The sequence below is a fragment of the Homo sapiens genome, chromosome 10 (genome assembly GCF_000001405.40).
Source record: "Homo sapiens chromosome 10, GRCh38.p14 Primary Assembly".
NCBI classification, from domain to species: domain Eukaryota; kingdom Metazoa; phylum Chordata; class Mammalia; order Primates; family Hominidae; genus Homo; species Homo sapiens.
The window spans coordinates 46,392,502-46,411,400 of record NC_000010.11 but is presented as its reverse complement, the minus strand read 5'-3'; the positions used below and the strand labels follow the sequence as shown (position 1 = coordinate 46,411,400).

At 41.1% G+C, this 18,899-nt stretch overlaps 1 long non-coding RNA gene across 1 annotated transcript in view, besides 1 other annotated feature; it reads right to left on the bottom strand.

Annotated features, from left to right (window-relative positions):
* Positions 1-13,039, bottom strand: part of LINC00842 (long intergenic non-protein coding RNA 842) — a 54,945-nt gene extending 41,906 nt beyond the window's left edge. The window contains exon 1 of the long non-coding RNA NR_033957.2: positions 12,608-13,039. This is a non-coding gene — a long non-coding RNA (long intergenic non-protein coding RNA 842). The remainder of the gene's footprint in view (positions 1-12,607) is intronic.
* Positions 14,164-14,779: an enhancer, noted in NCBI's record as "NANOG-H3K27ac-H3K4me1 hESC enhancer chr10:47152525-47153140 (GRCh37/hg19 assembly coordinates)". NCBI's record gives its function as "activates a minimal SCP1, AML or CMV promoter by ChIP-STARR-seq in naive H9 embryonic stem cells {active_cell/tissue: H9 hESC(naive)}" and the evidence as "EXISTENCE:reporter gene assay evidence [ECO:0000049][PMID:30033119]".

The window sequence follows — 18,899 nt, the reverse complement described above, 5'->3', positions numbered from 1 at the left end:
TCATGTAGTCTTTAATCATGTTGTGGAGGACAGGATGATCTGTGCCTCAGGAATCAGCTTAGTTGATAACTCAATTCCATGGCTGGGCCCCATTTGTAAGCAGTCATGGCACATCCCATGGAAACCTATAATCTAATTATGGCTGCTGCATCAGTCCTCATCCTTCATGCTGTCATCCACAGCTCCTCACCACCCATCTTACTTGGATGAAGGCTCTCTGAGGTATGAAGGGCAAACATCTGATCCTTCCACTGGAGGCCTAGGCTGCTTTCCTTATTCTCACAGCAGCCACAAGTATTGGGATCACAGCTTGAAAGGCTCTTCTTGGTCCGTGGGACTGGGGCAGTCAGGACAATTTCAGGCCTTTAGTGAATGGAGGCATTTCATTACTTCAGATCTCACCTAGTCTTGGAGGTCTTGGGCATTTTTAGAACTCACCCAGCCAGGCTGCCACTCAGGGTGAGGCTACCTGGATTGTTTATTGGTAACGAATGTTTGAATCAGAGACTGTTAGAAAACCAAAAATGAAGATTTTAACAATACAAAAAGCAGAACCTAAAGAGGTTTAATCAGTAGGATTGGTACCAGTTCTTTGTATGTCTGATAGAATTTAGCTGTGAATCCATCTAGTCCAGGGCTTTTTGTTGTTGTCGTTGGTAGGTTTTTTATTATTCGTTTAATTTCAGAGCTTGATATTGGTCTAGTCAGGGTATCAGTCTCTTCCTGATTCAATCTTGGGAGATTGTATGTTCCCAGGAATTTATCCATTTCCTCTAGATTTTCTAATTTGTGTGCATAGAATTACTCACAGTATTTTCTGAGGATCTTTTGTATTTCTGCATGTATCAGTACGCCATACTGTTCAAGCACATGGACTTTGCAGTTGGACATTCCTGAGTACAAATTCTGCTTCTGGCAGAGCATTTAGGTGACTTAGTCTGCTGACAAAGCTGCAGTATCTTCATCTGCAAATGAAGATGAATTGTAATATCTTTGTCATTTCTGACAGTACTTATTTGGAAATTCTTTTTTCTTTGTTAATCTAGCTAGTGGTCTCTCAGTCTTGTTTATTTTTTTGAAAATCAACTTTTGGTTTCATTTATCTTTTGTATGGATTTTTGCATCTCAATTTCATTAAGTTCTTCTTTAATTTTAGTTATTTATTTTCTTCTGCTAGCTTTGGGGTTGGTTTGCTCTTTTTCTCTAGTTCTTCTAGGTGCAAAGTTAGACTGTTAATTTGAGATTGTTTTAACTTCTTGGTGAAGGCATTTAACGTTATAAACTTTCCTCTTAACACTGCTTTGGCTGTATCCCAGAGACTTTGTTAAGTTGTATCTCCATTTTCATTACTTTCAAAGATTTTTTTATTTCTGCCTTAATTTTGATTTTCACCTAGGAGTTAATCAGGAAAAAGTTGTTTAATATCCATGTATTTGTGTAGTTTTGAGAGATCTTCTTGATATTAGTTTCTATTTTTATCGCACTGTGGTCCAAGAGTGTGTTTGGTATAATTTCAATTTTTTAAAATTTATTGAGACTTGCTTTATGACTCAGCGTATGGTTGATCTGAGAATATGTTCTGTGTACAGATAGGAAGAATGTATATTCTGTGGTTGTTGGGTGGAGTGAATGTCTATGAGGCCCTTGTAGATAAAATAATAGCTGAAATTGGAAAAAGAGGTTTAACCAGCTTTACTCATTTAAAATGCAAATGCGCTATTAGATAAGGGCCACATCACTTGGCATCAGGCCATAAGACAAGATGTGTCTGGATTATCCTGGGATTAATACTCATTTCCAAACTTCTAGGACTATTGAGAGTTGGTTTTTTTTTCTAGAAATCTCTGACGGACTACATTTGTTCCATAGTTCAGCCTCATCATCTTATGAACTATTTAGATAAGGGATAGAAAGTATCTTTTGAATTCATGTCAGCACCAATAGATTGGTGGTGGCTGCTTTAAAAACTGGGCCTAGAAGGATTCTGAATTCTTAACTGGGCTTAGAGAGAAAGAATGCCATGTTCAAAGAAGAAAGTTATCAATGGCTGCAGGAGGGGTGAGGTGGCCCATGTGTCACATGACTTGCTATCTTTGCACTGGGCAACCCTAACCTCTGAGAGGGTCCTTGTTGAATAAGATAAGTAGGTCCAGCCCTCAAGTTGTTATCAGTATAGCAGAGATGGTGAGCCACGAAGTGCTGCCAGATCACTGTATTGTGTTCTGGTCATGGCAGGTGCATGTATCAGTATGCCATACTGTTCAAGCACATGGACTTTGCAGTTGGCCATTCCTGAGTACAAATTCTGCTTCTGACAGAGCATTTAGGTGACTTAGTCTGCTGACTAAGCTGCAGTATCTTCATCTGCAAATGAAGATAATACCCACCTCACAGGGTAACTGGGGTCATTAAATGATATCAGATTTCAAAGCATTAGATGCTCACCTTGTAGTAATCATTATTACTATAATTACTATTGGTGTGGAAACACAGACACGCCTCTAAACTGTCCTGGGTACAGAGAAGGCTCTACAGACAGGCCCTGTTTTAAATTGCAAGTGATACTCAGGCAGTCTTCAGTAGACAAAGGCAGAGGCCATTCAGTGCAGGGGAGGACATTCTGTCCCCTGGTTAGGAAACCTGAACTATGGAATAGAAAAAAACTTAGACTCAATATTCAGAACAACTTTCCTGAAATAAAGGAAGACTTGAATTTTCTGACCGAAGGGTAAATTGATTTAGAGAAGTCAATGCTGAGATGACAGATCCTAACAAAATGAATGTTTGCCTTCAAAGAAAAGAATCCTAGGAGTATCCAGTAGAAAACCATCTCTCCAAAAACCAATCAAGACAACAACAAAAATAAAAACAACTACCCCAAACAATCACATGAAAACTCAAACCAAGAGAAACACTTGCAGAATGTCAGAATAAGGACTTCTGAAAATCCTTCCTTAACAACAATGAGAGCACTGGCAAAAATGTCAAAATTAACATTTTCAGAGTCCTGGAAATTAACCAAAGGCTTTCAGCAATCCAAGTTAGATTTATTCAAGAAACACAGCTGAATCTCAGTAAGAATAGCAAATTTTGTGGTGTTTTAACTTGCCTTATTCGTAGTCTTCTTTTCCAAGCTCTATGATAGACTTGAACATAAATGTTCTCAGCTAGGCATGGTGGCTCACTCCTATAATCCTAGCACTTTGGGAGGCTGAAATGGGAGGATTGCTTAAGTCCATGAGTTTGAGACCAGTCTGGACAACACAGAGACAACCTCTGTCTTACACACACACACACACACACACACACACACACACACAATTAACATTCTCACAACCATGACAGCTGTGAAAACCAGCAGCCTGGTAGCCACTGGGGAGGACAGAATAGGTTTAGAGCTCTCCAAAAATCCCATCCTCAGAAAGTTGTTACTATTTGATCTGTCTGACAGCTCCCTGGAAAAGGCACATTCTCAGGGATTGTCTTTGCTTAACATGGTTTGGAGCTTAGTCTGTGTGAACAGCCCTATCCTGAGGGAATCTGTCAAAAACAATCAGCAAAAATTGTTTGACATTGCAACTGCCTGAGATGGCAGTACCAGTTGGGGCTAATAAGAGGCTGACCAAAACAGTTACAAGGAAAAACTGGGGAATGAGGTATTCATAGAGGCTTTGGAAAAGCTCTGACATATTCTTAAGAACCTAGAAGGCCATGTGCACGTGCAGGGTTGTACACATGTCCAAGACAGATCTAACTAGAGCTTAACTTTTGTTTGGCTTTGAGGCTCTGTGCAAGCAGGAAGTAAACTCTGAGGCAGAGTTGTCAGCTGCTTGCTGAAGCATCGAAGGCATGGCTCAACACAAACAAAGCTTCCCAGCAAAGGTAGGTAGATTTAGTTGTGCAAGGAATTTAAAGAAATCTCTGTCCAAAAATTAATGGACAACTAAACTGAGGAAAGACTTCGGTGGCTACACATGACAAAAAGTATACATTAAAACTTAGTCCAGGAAATTCACTAAACAGAGAAACAGCAGCATCGGCAACAACAACAAACAGAAGCAACAACAAATTGTGAAGAGGGGTGAGGTCTGATTTTTGGAGACACCACATTATTTTATTTAAAACATTCAGTTTTTAAGAAAAAAATATGAGAAATGCAAAGAAACAAAATGTGTGACCTATTCACAGGGAAAAAGCTGCCATTAGAAACTTTTTCTTGAGGAAGCCCAGACATTGGACTTACTATCAAAGATTTTAGAACAAGTCTTAAAAACATGTTTAAACAACTAAAGGAAAGCATGTTTAAAGAATTTTAAAAAGCATGAAAATGATGTCTTACCAAATACAGCATATCAATAAAGAGATAGAAAATTATATAAAAAAGGGAAAAAAATAAAATTCTGGGTTGAAAGTGCAACTGAAATAAAAAATTATTAACCAGAGGGGCTTAACAGCCAATTTGAGCAGGCAGAAAAAAGATTCAGTAAGTTGAATAAGGGTCAATTGAGATTATACAATCCAGGGAACAGAAAGTCAAAAGAATGAAGAAAAATGAACAGAGCCTCAGAGAGCATACCAATATGTATATAATGAGAATCCCAAAAGAAGAGGAGATAAAGGGGCAGAAAGAATATTTGAAGAAATAATTGCCATAAACTTCCCAAATTTGATGAAGAACATTAATTTACATGCTCAAGAAATTCAACGAACTACAAGTGGTATAAAAACAAAGAAATCCATACCTAGATACATCAGAGTCAAACTATCAAAAGCCAATGACAAAAAGAGAATCTCGAAAGCTACAAAAGAAAAATAACTCAGCATATACACTCTAGCTTCAAATTCCTCAATAAGATTAACAACTGACTTTTTATCAAAACCATTCAGGCAAGAAGGCAATGGGATAACATATTAAAAGTATTGTAAGAAAATGACTGTCAACCAAGAATTCTATATCTAGCAAAGGTATCTTTGAAAAAAAAGAAGAAATGCCCAGATAAATGAAAAATGAGAGAGTTCATCATGAGTAGATCTTCCCTACAAGAAATACTAAAAGGAGTCTCTCAGGCTGAAATGAAAGGACACTAGATGGTAACTTCATCCACACAAAGAAATAAAGAGCACTGCAGGGTAATTACATAATTAAAAAGACAGTATAATGTATTTTTAATTGTAATTCTTTTCTTATCCTATCTGATTTAAAAATAGCTACATAAATGAGTAATTATAAAACTGGGTTGTTGGGCTTATAATGTATAAAGATGTAATTTGTACGATAATATTAACACAAAGGAAGGGGGCAGGAAATGGACCTATATTGAAGCAATCTTTAAATATATTGTTGAAATTAAGTTGGATTGATATGGATTAGATTGTTTTATGATAAAATGTTATAATCCCCAGGGCAAGAATAAGAAAATAACTAAAAATATATGGTAAAACAAACAAAAGAATTAAAATGATATGCTAGAAAATATCAATTGAATTCAAAAGAAGACAGTAATGAGGGAAAAGAAAAACAAAAAAGATGTAGGACATATAAAAATAGCAAAATGGAAGGTGTAGAGCCTATCTTTTCAGTAAATCATATTAAATGTAAATAGAGTAAACATACCAATCAAAATGCAGAGGTTGTGATTTTAAAAAATGAATCAACTGTTATCTATAAGAGACATACTTTACATTCAAAGACACAAATAGGTTGAAAGTAATAGGATGGAAAAAGATAATCCATGAAAGTAGTAACCAAAGGGGAGCTGGAGTGGCTAGCTATACTAACAGTAGACCAAATAGACTCTTAAGACAAAAATTATTACAAGAGACAAAGAAAAACATTTTATAATTGTAAAAGTTTCAATCTATTAAGAAGACATGGCAATTAAGAATATATATGCACTTAATAGCAGAGATCCAAATACATGAAGCAAAAACTGAAGTGAGAAATAGAAAATTCAACAATTATAGTTGGAGACATCATTACTCCACTTTCAACAACGGATAGAACAACTAGGCAGAAGATCCACAAGGATATAGAAGATCTGAAAAAAACAGTAAACCCACTAGAGCTGGTAGTTACCCACAGAACACTCCACCACCATCAACAGAATAGACATTCTTTATATGTGTATATGGAATGTTCTCAAGAATAAATCTTGTCATGAGAAGAATAGTGGCCCCCAAAGATATCCATGCCCTAATCCCTGGAACCACGTTACATTACATGACAAAAGGGGCTTTGCAGATATGATTAAGGGTATAAACCTTGAGATGCGGAGATTACCCTGGATTGTTTGGGTGGGCCCAATCAAAATACATGAGTTCTTAAAAGTGGAGACACTTTCCTAACCATGGTAGGGAGATGAAATGGAAGGAGGAGGAGACAATTGAGGTGTGAGAAAGGTTTAAGTGACTACTAAACTGATGGACTTGATCCACCATTGCTGCCTTTGAGGATGGAGGAAGGGGACTATTAATAAGGGAATGTGGGTAGCTTCTAGAAGCTGGGAACAGTTCAGCTGACAGCCAGCAAGGAAGTGGGAATCTCAGTCCTACAACTTGCAGGAACTGAATTCTGCCAACAACTCGAATGAACAAGGGAACTCTCCGAGAATTTCCACAAAGGAATACAACCACACAGATTCCTATTTTTAGCCCAATAAGACATGTCAGACTTCTGATCTTCAGAACCACAAGATAATAAATTTGTGTTAGGTGCAAATTTGTGGTAATTTGTTATGGCAGCAATAGAAAACACATACATGTATATTCATCCATAAAACAAAATGCAGTAAATTTAAAATAATTGAAATCATATAGAATATGTTCTCTAACAATAGCAGAGTGAAATTCAAAACCAAAAACAGAAAGAAATTTCGGACATCCACAAATATGTAGAAATTAAATGACACACTCCAAAATAATCAATGGGTCAAAGAAGAAATCACAATGAAAATTAGAAAATTATTTGAAATGAATGAAAATAAAATCACAACATATCAAAGTGTATGGGGTGCAGTCAAAGCAATACTTAGGGAGACTTTTATAGCTGTAAATGCCTATATTAAAAAGAAGAAAGATCTCCATAACCCAGACTTCCACCTTAAGAAAGTAGAAAAGGAAGCGCAAACTAAGCCCAAAGCAAGCAGAAAGAAGAAAATAATAAAGATTGTAGTGGAAATAAATAAAACAGGGAATAGAAAAAACACTAAGGGAAAAAACAAGAGTAATTGCTTCACTGAAAAGAGCAATAAAATTGGTAAACCTTTAGCTTGACTGAGAAGAAAAAAGTTATGTGCCCTATTTCATTCCCTATACATTAAATTATTAAATTATTAATGTATAGGGAATTAAATTATTAAATTAATAATGTTTAGAGAATGAAATAGGGCACACCACTACCACCTCATAGAAATAAAAGGATTATAAAGGAATACTATAAACAATTGTAAGACAGCAAAATTTTAACTTAGGTGAAATGGAAAAATTCCTAGAAAGACAGGAACTACAAAAACTGAATCAAGAACAAATAGAAAATTTCAATAGACCTTAGTAAGTAAAGGGATTAAATTAGTAATTAAGAAACTCACCATGCACAAAAAAGCTCAGTACCAAATGGTTTCGCTGATTAGTTTTCCCAAACATTTAAAAAAGATTATTGTTAATTCTTCACAATCTTTTCCAAAAATAGAAGAAACAAACTTCAACTCATTCTATGATGTCATTATTCTCATGATACCAAAACAAAAGACATTCTAAGAGAACACAGCAATATCTTTCATGAATATTAATACAAAAATTATCAACAAAATACTAGCACACTAAACCTAGAAACATATAAAAATGATTATGTATCACAATCAAGTGAAATTTATTTCAGGAATGCAAAGTTGGTTTAACATAATAAAATAAATCTAATTAATACACCACATTAATAAAATGAAGGATAAAATCCACCTAATCTCAATAGATGCAGAAAAAACATTTGACAAAATCAATATCCTTTCATGATAAAACACTCATAAAACTAGAAATAGAGGAGAATTTATGAAATCTAATAAAGAACATCTATGAAAAACCACAACTGACATCATCCCAAAGGGTGAAAGAGTGGATACTTTCCTTCTAAGACCAGTAAGAAGGAAAGGAAGTCCATGCTCACCACTTCTATTCAACATTGTATTAGAGATCTGAGCTAGGGCAATTATGCAAATAAGTATGTAAATTTAAAAAATAGCATCCAAATTGAAAAGAAAGATGTAAACTATATTTACAGATGACATAATCTAAGGAATTCACAAAATAACTATTACGACTAATAAATGAGTTCAGCAAGATTGCAGATACAAGAACAATATGAAAAACAATTGTATTTCTACACACTAGCAATGAATAATCTGAATATAAGATTAAGAACAGAATTCCATTTACAATGGCATCAGACAAAATAAAAGGCTTATGAATAAATTCAACAAATAAGTCTAAGACTTGTACGTACTGAAAACAATAAAACACCACTGAAGGAAATTAAAGAAGACCTAAATAAATGAAAAAACATCCTATGTTCATGGATTTGGAAGACTTAATATTGTTAAGATGTCAATGTTTCCCAAATTGGTCTACAGATTCAATGCAATCTTGATTGAAAGATTATGTGCCTTTTTCTCAGAAGTTCACATGCAGATGCAAGAGACCCAGAATAGCCAACATGATCTTGAAAGAGAGAGGACTACACTTCCTGATTTAAAAACTTAATACAGGTTGGGTGCAGTGGCTCACACCTGTAATGCCAGCACTTTGGGAGGCTAAGTTGGGAGGATTGCTTGAGCCCAGAGTTTGAGATTAACCTGGGCAACATAATGAGACCCCATCTCTACAAAAAATAAAAAAAAGATTAGCTGGGTGTGGTGGTGTGTGCCTGTAGTCCCAGCAACTTGGGAGGCCGAGGTGGGAGGATCACTTGAGCCCAAGAGGTCTATGATGCAGTGACCTATGATCAAGGCACTGCACTCCAGCCTGGGCAACAGAACAAGACCCTATCTCAAAAACAAAATGAAACAAAACAACCCCCCCAAACCCCAAAGAAAACCAAACTTACTACCAACATCTAGTAATCAAGATAGCCCAATACTAGAAATGTAATAGAATTGAAAATCCAATATTAAACCTTCACATTTATGGTTAACTGATTTTTGACAAAGGTGTCAAGACAATTCAAGAGGATTAAAAAAAAGCCTTAACAAATGATGCTGGGACAACCGGATTTCCACATGTGAAGGAATGAAGCTGGACACTTACCTTACATCATGTACAAAACTTAACTCAAAATGGACCAAAGTTCTAAATGTAAGAGCTAAAACTATAAAACCATAGAGGCAAATGTTCATGACCTTGGATTGGTAAAAGGATTATTAGATATAATACCAAAAGCAGAAGTGACCAAACAAAAAAAAATAAGTGGGGCATTATCAAAATTGACAGCTTTTGTGCTTCAAAGGACACCATCAAGAAAGTCAAAAAGCAACCCACAGAATGGGAAGAAGTATTTGCAAATCATATATATATACATATATATATATATATATATATAAAATTTGATAAGCCACTTGTATCCAGAATATATGAAGAACTCTAACAATTCAGCAATAAAAGACAATAACCTAATTAAAACATGGGCAAATGATTTGAATAAATATTTGTCCAAAGAAGATATACTCATGATCAAAAAGCACCTGAAAAGATGCTTGACATTATTAGTCATTAGGAAAGTGCAAATAGAACCGCAATAAGATACAACTACACACCCATTAGGATGGCTTTCATAGAAAAAGACAGGCAATAAGAAGTGTTGGTGAAGATGCAGAGAAATTGAAAACCCCGTTCATTGCTGGTGTGAACATAAGATGGTGCTGTCACTTTGGAAAACAGTTTGGTAGTTCCTCAAAAAGTTGGGTGTAGTATTATCATATGACCAAGGAATTCCACTCCTAGATACATACCCAAGAGAACTGAAAACCTATATCCACACAATATCTTGTACAAGTGTTTTCAAAGCAGCATTATTCATAACACCCGAAAAGTAGAAACAATCCAAATGTCCGTCAACGAATGGGTAAACAACTGTGGTATTCCTTTCCAGTGGTAAGAGACAGAATTGATTAGGGAAATGAGGCAGATTCACTAAACTCCACTGAAGGATGGACCTGAGCCAACAGTTCACAGGAAAATGACACAAAAGGCCTTTAAATATATAAAAAGCATCATGTTTAAAGCTTCACTTGTCATCATGGGAAGTCAAACTAAAACACTGAATTACTATACTTTGTCCACCAGATGAGTGAGGATCAAATTTTGAAGATGTACTGTCTTAGTAAGAGGTTTAGGAAATTGGTATTTTCCTTCTGTACTGATGAGAATGGGGACTTCTTGACAAAATCTATCTTAAGTACAATTCCACATGCCCTTTGATCTAAACACAATATTTTAGGAGTCTATCCTATGATGATACAAAGTAATATAAGAATGTTTATTGCAATAACTTCCAATAACAAGCTACCGAAACCAGCCTAAACAACCAAAAACAGATTAAATGAGTAGAGATTGGTTAAATAAATTATGGTACATTCACAATGAAATCTTACACTGCTGTTAAAAAGTATTAATTTTTCCTAAAGATATATTAAATACATATAATTAAAAATAGAAAGAAGACTAGCATTAGACAAAAGCTAGAGAAGTAGGGAAAGTACATATATTTTTGCGTATTCCTAGAGAATTTCTAGAAGCATATACAGGAAACTTAACAATCGTGAGAGAGTTTGGAGAGGACTTTGGCTGGGGGTTCTGGAGTGGTGCAGAGATTTATTTTCACCACTTACTCTTTTGTACTACTTGATTTTCTAGAAGCATATGCAAGATGAATTTCTAGAAGCATATACAAGAAACTTAATAACTGTGAGAGAGTTTGGAGAGGACTTTGGCTGGGGTCTCTAGAGTGGTGCAGAGATTTATTTTCACCATTTACTCTTTTGTACTACTTGATTTTTATCAAGTGCGTGCATTACTTTTTTGCCTTTTAGGTTTTTATTTTATGTATGTTTAGACTTTTAAATTTTCAAATAATCATAGATTGACAAGAATTTGTGAAGGGGTCCCAATATCCTTCACCCAGTTTCTCCACTGTTTACGTTTTACATTCTACAAAACAATATCAAAACAAAGAAACTGACATTAGCACAATGTGTGTTCTTCTATTACATTGTATCACATGTGTAGATTCCTGTAACCACCAAGACACAAAACTATCCCATCATCCCAAGATCTCTCCTGCTACCTCTTTGTAGTCACACTTCCCCACCACCGCCTCTAACGCCTGCCAACCACTAATCTGTTTTCACTGTTTATAATTTTGCCCCTGGAAGAATGTTATACAAGTGAAATCGTACAGTATGTGACTTTTTGAGATTGGTTTTTTTCACTTAGCCTAATGCTCTTGAGATCCATCCATTTAGTTATTTGCATGAATAATGTTTCTTTTTATTGCTGAATATTGGCATAGATGTGTCACTTAGTTTAAGCATTCACTTAGTGAGGGACATTTTGGTTCTTTTCTAGTTTCTGGCTATGATAGGAAGACACAGGAGAAAATCATCTGGACCTAGGAGTTGAGGATGAGTTCATAGGCATGGCACCCAAGTACGATTCATTAAAGAAAGAATTGATAAATTGGACTTCATCAAAATTAAAAACTTTGCCTCTGCAAAATATTCTGTTAAGATGATGAAAGGACAAGCTATGGAGGGGAGAAAATATTTGCAAACTGCATATCTGACAAAGGACTCACATTTACAATGCATAAAGAGCTCTCAAAACTCAACAGTAAAAAAAAAAATCTGATAAGAAATTGGGCAATAGACATGAAGAGACATTTCATGGCCGAGTCAAATCAGCATGTGGAAATATATTTAACATCATTAGCCTTTGGGGAAATGCAAATTGAGATCATGAGAAATCACTGCACACTTATTTGAGCAGTTGAAATAAAAATATAATGATAAAACCAAATGCTAGCAAGGATGCAGAGAAACCAAATTTCTCATCCCTTGCTTGTGAGAATATAACATGATACACACAGCCACTCCCAAAAATAGATTGACAGTTTCTCAAAAAACATGCACTTACCATATTACTCAACAATCACATTCCTGGGCTTTTATCAGAGAAATTATAATTTAAGTTTGCACAAAAAGCTACACACAAATGCTCATAACTGCTCTATTCGTCATGTTTTTATTGGCAGGTAATTTACATACAAAGAAATTCAAAAATCTTAAATTTCACAATTCAATGTGTTTTGTCAAATGCCTGCACTCCTGTCCCTCCCCCACTGTAAGATTTACAACACTCTAGCACCCCCAAAAAGTTATTTCATGCCCCCTTCAGCTAACCTCTACCATGCCACTCCATCCATAAACCCCAAAGCAACTATTAAAAAAAAAAAAAAAAGGCAAAAACCGCAATTACTTTTGCACCAACCTAATACTAGTCTGATTTTTAAATCACAGATTCATTTTCATATAAATGGAATCATACAATGTTTATTCTTTCATACCTGACTTCTTTCATTCAGGAACACGATTCAGAGCTTCTGCTGTGCAGTAGGGGACATCAATAGTTCATTTTCTTTTTATTGTCTGCTAACATTCCATTGTATGGATTCAACCTAGTCTGTTTATTCATTCTTCTTACTGATGAAGTTTTTTTCTCACGGCTTAAGTCCAAGGTGTGTCTTTTTCGTCCAGCCAGGTGGCCCCGGCAGGTCGCTCCTCAGGGACCCACATGGGTCAGGGCGGTGCAGCAGTGACCCACAGGGGCCAGTGCAGTTGAAGTGGCTTTGAAACCTGATTGGAGAAACAGACTGCTCAGCTGTTAAGAACACACAGCGCTCCAGAAAACTGGTGTTCAACACAACGCGTCACTCCGGCTTCCACTGCTGCTGCGGAGAGTCAGGTTCTCCGGCAAGGCCCCGCGCGCCCGCCCCCGCGCGCCCGCTTCTCTGTCCAGGGAACGCCTTTCTGCGGGCGGAGGCGGCTACGAGGGGGCGCTGCGAAAGCGGATTTCCAGGCACGCCTGGCGCCACTAAGCGGCGCTGAGACGGCGCTGCCTCCTGACTGCCGGTTGGAGGCTACAGGGGCTCTGGGGCAAGGGCCGCTTTTAGGAGTTTGCTGGTCACGAGGGGGGACGCGACCTCGTCCAAGATCTGTCTGCAAGGGACCCTTCCCAGCCGATGTGAACACAGCCCGGGGAAAGGGGTCTTCCGGGGAGCAAAGGCAGCCCGGGAAGAGGAGTAGGGGCTGAAACCAAAGGCAGCCTGGGTACCCAGGTTTTCCCAGGGGACAAGTCCCCCAGTTAGCTGGGCACAGGGAGGCATGGAGAGCGGCAGCAACTGCGTTGGGATGGGGCGGCTGCCCCAGGTTGGGGCGGTGACCCATGTTCCACCAGGCCAGGCGCAGGGCTGAGGTGGCTGACTCCTGTTTCACAAGTGAAGACCTGGTCACCCCAGCAGCAAGGCATTCCGGAGTGGGAGAATTCCTGAGTCCTGGGGAGGAAGCCGTGGTTACAGGGCTGTGGCCCTGAGCAGGAGCTGGCTGGCCCAGCAGGGTGGGCCGAGCACTTCAGTCAAGGCTGAGCGCCAGGCACCAGGGACTCAGGTCTGAGAGACCTGATGTACATCCTGCTCCAGAGCAGATCACAGAGATGCGCCCGCATGAATCCCCAGGCTAAGCCCAGAATTCCGTGGAAGATGCCCATGGGCCAGGAACACGGGTAGTCACCGCGCTAGGGCATCACACAGGGCCCCCCTTGGCCAAATACCACGAGGGAACTTAGACACCTGCATGGGGCCATGGAAGTGCCTGCAACCTCACACTCAGGCCTAGGGCTTACCGAGGTATTGCAGATATTTGTGTTCTCAGAGTAGGAGCTTAGGAATCAGTATCTTCTCTTCGCTACAGGGACAGAGATGCAGTGGCCTAGGACACATCACAAATATTTAAAACGATGTCCTTGGTCAAGGACAGAGGTAGCCAAGGCCAGCCTTCTCCCAGGAAACTAACCCAGGACCCCAAAGCACAGAGCTGTTAGGTGGGAGGGAATTGGTCTGTATGTCTCCCTATAGTGTTGCAACACTTCGGCGCTGGGCTCCCTGTCCCAGACTCACCTTCTATACTCAAGCCAGAGGCCTACGAAAGCCGGGTTAAGATCTTCCCCTGCCTGTCCCTGTAAAGCTTCCCCACTGTCTCTGGAAATCATTTGAGCTTCTTAGCCCCACAGCATGAGCCCGCTCTGACTCAGGCCCTGACAAGCTCTTTCTCTTCTGTCTCTCCCTCCTCTGTTGATATGGACACACCATTCCTTTGGCATGTCTAGTACAGACCAGATCCCCTGCTGTTGTTAGCATTCCTCCCTCTCCCTGGAATGTTCTTCCTTATCTGTCTACCTGATAAGCACTGAGTCATCCTGCAAAACTCTGCACAGCTTTCACCTTCCCTGAGGAGCCTCCCCTGGCCAGCCCCACCCTGTTGCAGGCAGAATGCTTGGCGGTGGGTTGCTGACCACAAATCCATTCCCCCTTTATTCCTTGCCAAGGGAATGCTGATTTTGCTCAGGTTGTCAACCCTCAGGGAGGTGACCCTAAACATGCCAAGTCCAACACACTAGCTCTACCCCCTGAGAGCATGAGAACAACACGGATGGGCATGTGCCCGGATCTGGCTTTGCCCTCATGGACTGCAGGTCAGGGGTGGGAAGCTCTTATAGAGCAGCCCCAGGAGCCCTAGGGGCCATCCTGCTGGCCATGCCATGGCAGTGTCAGAACCCCAAACAGCACCTGGGGTGAAGGAGCTACTGAAAGAGTGGAGAGACTCCACTTTGTCCTGTTAGATCTGTCTCAGAAGTATTTTTATTAGGATTGACTGGGTAAGCTTTCTTCCACAGGGAGCCTAAGGGGGCCCAGAGATTCTTCTCAGAATTGGAGGCCATCAAGGATTGGCTCAGGCTCGCTGGCTACTAGGCTCTCCTGTTCCCAAAGTCCATACTCTTGTTTGTTGTTATTCAAAAATATTTGTTGAAAGCCTGCTATCTACTAGGCCCTGAATGTTTAAAAACAAATAAAGTTCCTGCCTTCAAGGGGCTCACAGCTTTTCTGAGAGGACACGTAAACAGATAAAATGTCATTAGGGTGTAGTTCTGTGTAATAGAGGGTGTTCTTAGGTGCTGACAAGAGCATCTACTCTGTAGTTTAAGCAGAAAACAAATGTATGAAAGGCTATTGGACGGCTCACAGAATTCTGTGCGGCACGAACACTGTGTCTCAAATCATGCTGCAGGACAAACTTGGGGCTCAGTATGCTGGACCATGTTGTGCCTTCTCTCCCAGCCAGTGCTGCAATGGAAGAAAAGGAATTCAGCTCCTAGGAAATGCAAAACATTGATCTGAGGATAGAGAAGGAGTATATGTAGATATCATCTCTTGGAGGGAATTAAAAAGCAACGATGATAGAGCTATGGCAAGGCTACAGGTAGGGAATACCTATGGCAAAGAAAAACCAGAGCTAGACGATAAAGTAGTAAAACCAGATTTTATTCAGGACTATTGCAATAAGCGAAAAGAGACCTCAATATACAGTCAGGCTGATTCTAAAAACAGCATGAGAAGTTGAGACTTGGAGCCATGGAGCAGGTAGGAGTTGAAAGATGGAAAATTACCAAGAGGAAATGCCAGGGGTGAGGGTGATGCTGGCTAAACTGACCTAACAGGAGACCTGCTGAAGAAAGGCCAGGGTGACCAGACATCACCTGGGAAGGTGGAGGATGAGGACCCTGATCGGATATTGGGAGTGGTCAGATAGGAACAAGGGGAGTTCTTGCTGAATTGACTTAGTGGGATTCTTGCTCAAATTGAATTTTACAAGAAAGTACACAGATGAGCCTAGAAGGTTCAGGAGCCTGACTCAAGTTTGCTCAAGCAAAGAAACTTTGTCACTATTCCCTTATTTTTCCCCTATGCTGAAATTAAACTGGGCAGACTCCAAATTATCTTTAAAAACATAGGTGTGTTTTTAACAAATTCCAAAGAGCAATTGCAAAAGCACCTGTGGAGCGTGTCTGCTTTACCAGAAGTGCCCAAAAGGTTACTCCAGCAAAAATGATTAGCAGGTGCTGTGGATGCTGCTGGTGTCCTGGCCAGGGCCCCTTTGCTTCCTTCCCCAGGTGCCATGGGGGTCACCTGGTGGGAGTCAGCACATGGGGCCGTGACCCCTTACACCCATGCTGCTCCAGCTCTGACCCCAGGCAGAGAGAGCTTCCCCTCTAATCTGAGGAGACCTCTTGCTTCCAGGCCTGTCCCACATTTCTCTGCTGGCAGGGAGGCAGTGGGGGTGATGTCCATTCTGCCCCATCAGGGGAGATGATCAACTTCATGACTCTGCTTAAGCAGATCCCCTTGCTGGGCATGTACTTGGACTTGACCAAATTTCCTTGGCTGCAGCTCTTCTCAAGGCTCCTGTTTGGCCACATGAGGCCTGTTTTGGGGTGGGCTGCAAAAGAACCCATCGAACCAGTGGTCAGGGGAGCTTGCAGGGCAGAGAGATCCTCTAAGTCCTTCCTTCCTTCCTTCCTTCCTTTCTTTCTTCTTTCTTTTTTCTTTTTTTTTTGACAGAGTCTCGCTCTGTCACCCAGGCTGGAGTGCAGTGGCACTATCTCTGCTCACTGCAATCTCTGCCTCCCGGGTTCACGCCATTCTCCTGCCTCAGCCTCCCGAGTAAGCTGGGACTACAGGGGCCCACCACCATGCCCAGCTAATTTTTTTGTATTTTTTAGTAGAGACAGGGTTTCACCGTGTTAGCCAGGATGGCCTCGATCTCCTGACCTCGTGATCTGCCCGCCTCGTTCTCCCAAAGTGCTGGGATTACAGACTGAGCCACCACGCCTGGCCCCTCTAAGTCCTTTCTAAAGAGCTTTGGCAGAAAGCAGCTAGGCAATGGCTCAGAACTGAAAGCAAGTCTGCACACAAAGCAGGACTTGAACTGAAAGAAAAGGAATAAGAATTCTCACCCAGGGCTGGGATCCAAGAGACGCACACTGATACAACTACTAAAAGGTTGTTAAACTCCCGAAGGGCCCCTGCCTTGCTGTGTTACAGTCTGATTGTGTATTGTTGAAGCCCTTACCCCCAGTTTGCTGGTGTTTGGAGATGAGCCTTTGGAAGCTAATTAGGATTAGATGAGGTTATGAGGGCGGGGCCCTCATGATGGTATAGTGATCTTATGAAAAGAGCAGGAGAGAGAGAGAGCTCTTCCCCCCGTGACCAGGTGTAAGCACAGAGGAAAGGTCATGGGAGGACGTGTCAAAAAGGCAGCCGTCCGCAAGCCAGGAAGAGGCCCTCCCCAGGAACTGAATTGATCTTAGACTTCCCAGCCTCCAGAACTGTGCAAAATAAGTGTCTGTTATTTAAGCCACCTATTTATGGTATTTTGTATGTCAGTCTGAAAAGACTAAGACATGTTGGTGAATAGCTGCTGCATCCCCAACACCCAGGAGCCTCCCCTGGGGCCCCACAGACACCCTGCCATCCAGCACTAAGGGTTGAGGCCTGGCCCTGCAGGGGCCGCTACTCGAGCTCTGCTCCACCCCTGCAGACAGCACCCATTCAGGTGAGTGGGTTGTGCTGCACCAGTTGTTAAATATTCTGAGCACCACTTGTGGTGGATTTAAAAACAGCCCCCAGATTCGTTGACACTCTTCTCATTGACAGATTGGGTCTGTGTCCCCTTTCCTTGAAGCTGGGGTGGCTTGTGGTGTCTTCAACTGATAGGGCACCGGGGAAGTGATGCCATGTGACTCCTGACGCTAACTCACAGAAGGCAATGTGGTGTCCTTCTTGTCCACTGGGAGACGGTGGAGCCCTACCACTTGCTACCCTGAGGCCACCTTGCTGGAGAAGCTACGTGTAGGAGCGCAGGGGACAGTCCCAGTTGAGCCTGGCCTTCCAGCCATCTCACCAGGGGCCCAACATGTGAGTGAAGAGGCATCCAGATGGTTGCACCCCTCTGCCCTAGAGTCACCCCAACCTTCAGGTCTTCCCAACTGAGACTGAGTCGTCTTACTTGTTGGGTCAGAGACAAGCACCTTGCTGTGCCCTCCAGAACTGCTGACCCACAGAATCTGTGAACATTATACATGAGGATTTTATGCTACTGGCTCTGGGGTGGTTCGAAAGGCAGCAGTTGTAACTGGGAGCCCACCCTGTATAGAAATGTGAGGAAACTGAGGCTCAGAGAGAGAGTAAGTGACTCAGTCACTGATATAGTTTGGATATCCCCTCCAAATTTCATGTTGAAATGTGATCCCCAGTGTTGGAGGTGGGGCCTGGTGGGAGGTGTTTAGGTCAGGGGGCAGATCCCTCATGGCCTGATGCTGTCCTCACCATCTTGAGCTCTGACAGGATCTGGCTGTTTAAAAGTGTGTGGCACCTCCCCCCACCTCTCTTGCTCCCACTCTCGCTACGTGATGTTGGCTCCCCCTTCACCTTCTGCCATGACTGTAAGGTCCCTCCAGAGGCCTCCCCAGAAGCTGAGCAGATGCCGGCACCATGCTTCCTATATAGCCTGCAGGACTGTGAGCCAATTAAACCCCCTTTTTAAATAAATTACCCAGACTCAGGTATTGCTTTATGGCAACACAAGAATAGCCTAACACAGTCAAAGTCATGGAGCTGGTGCAGGGCAGAGCCAGAATCTGCCTCCCGTCCAAGTGAATTCAGAGCCCACGCTATTCCCATCTCCCTGATCAGGCTGGTTCCTGGGCACACGCTTACCCCTCAGGGCCACTTGAGGGGAAGTTTG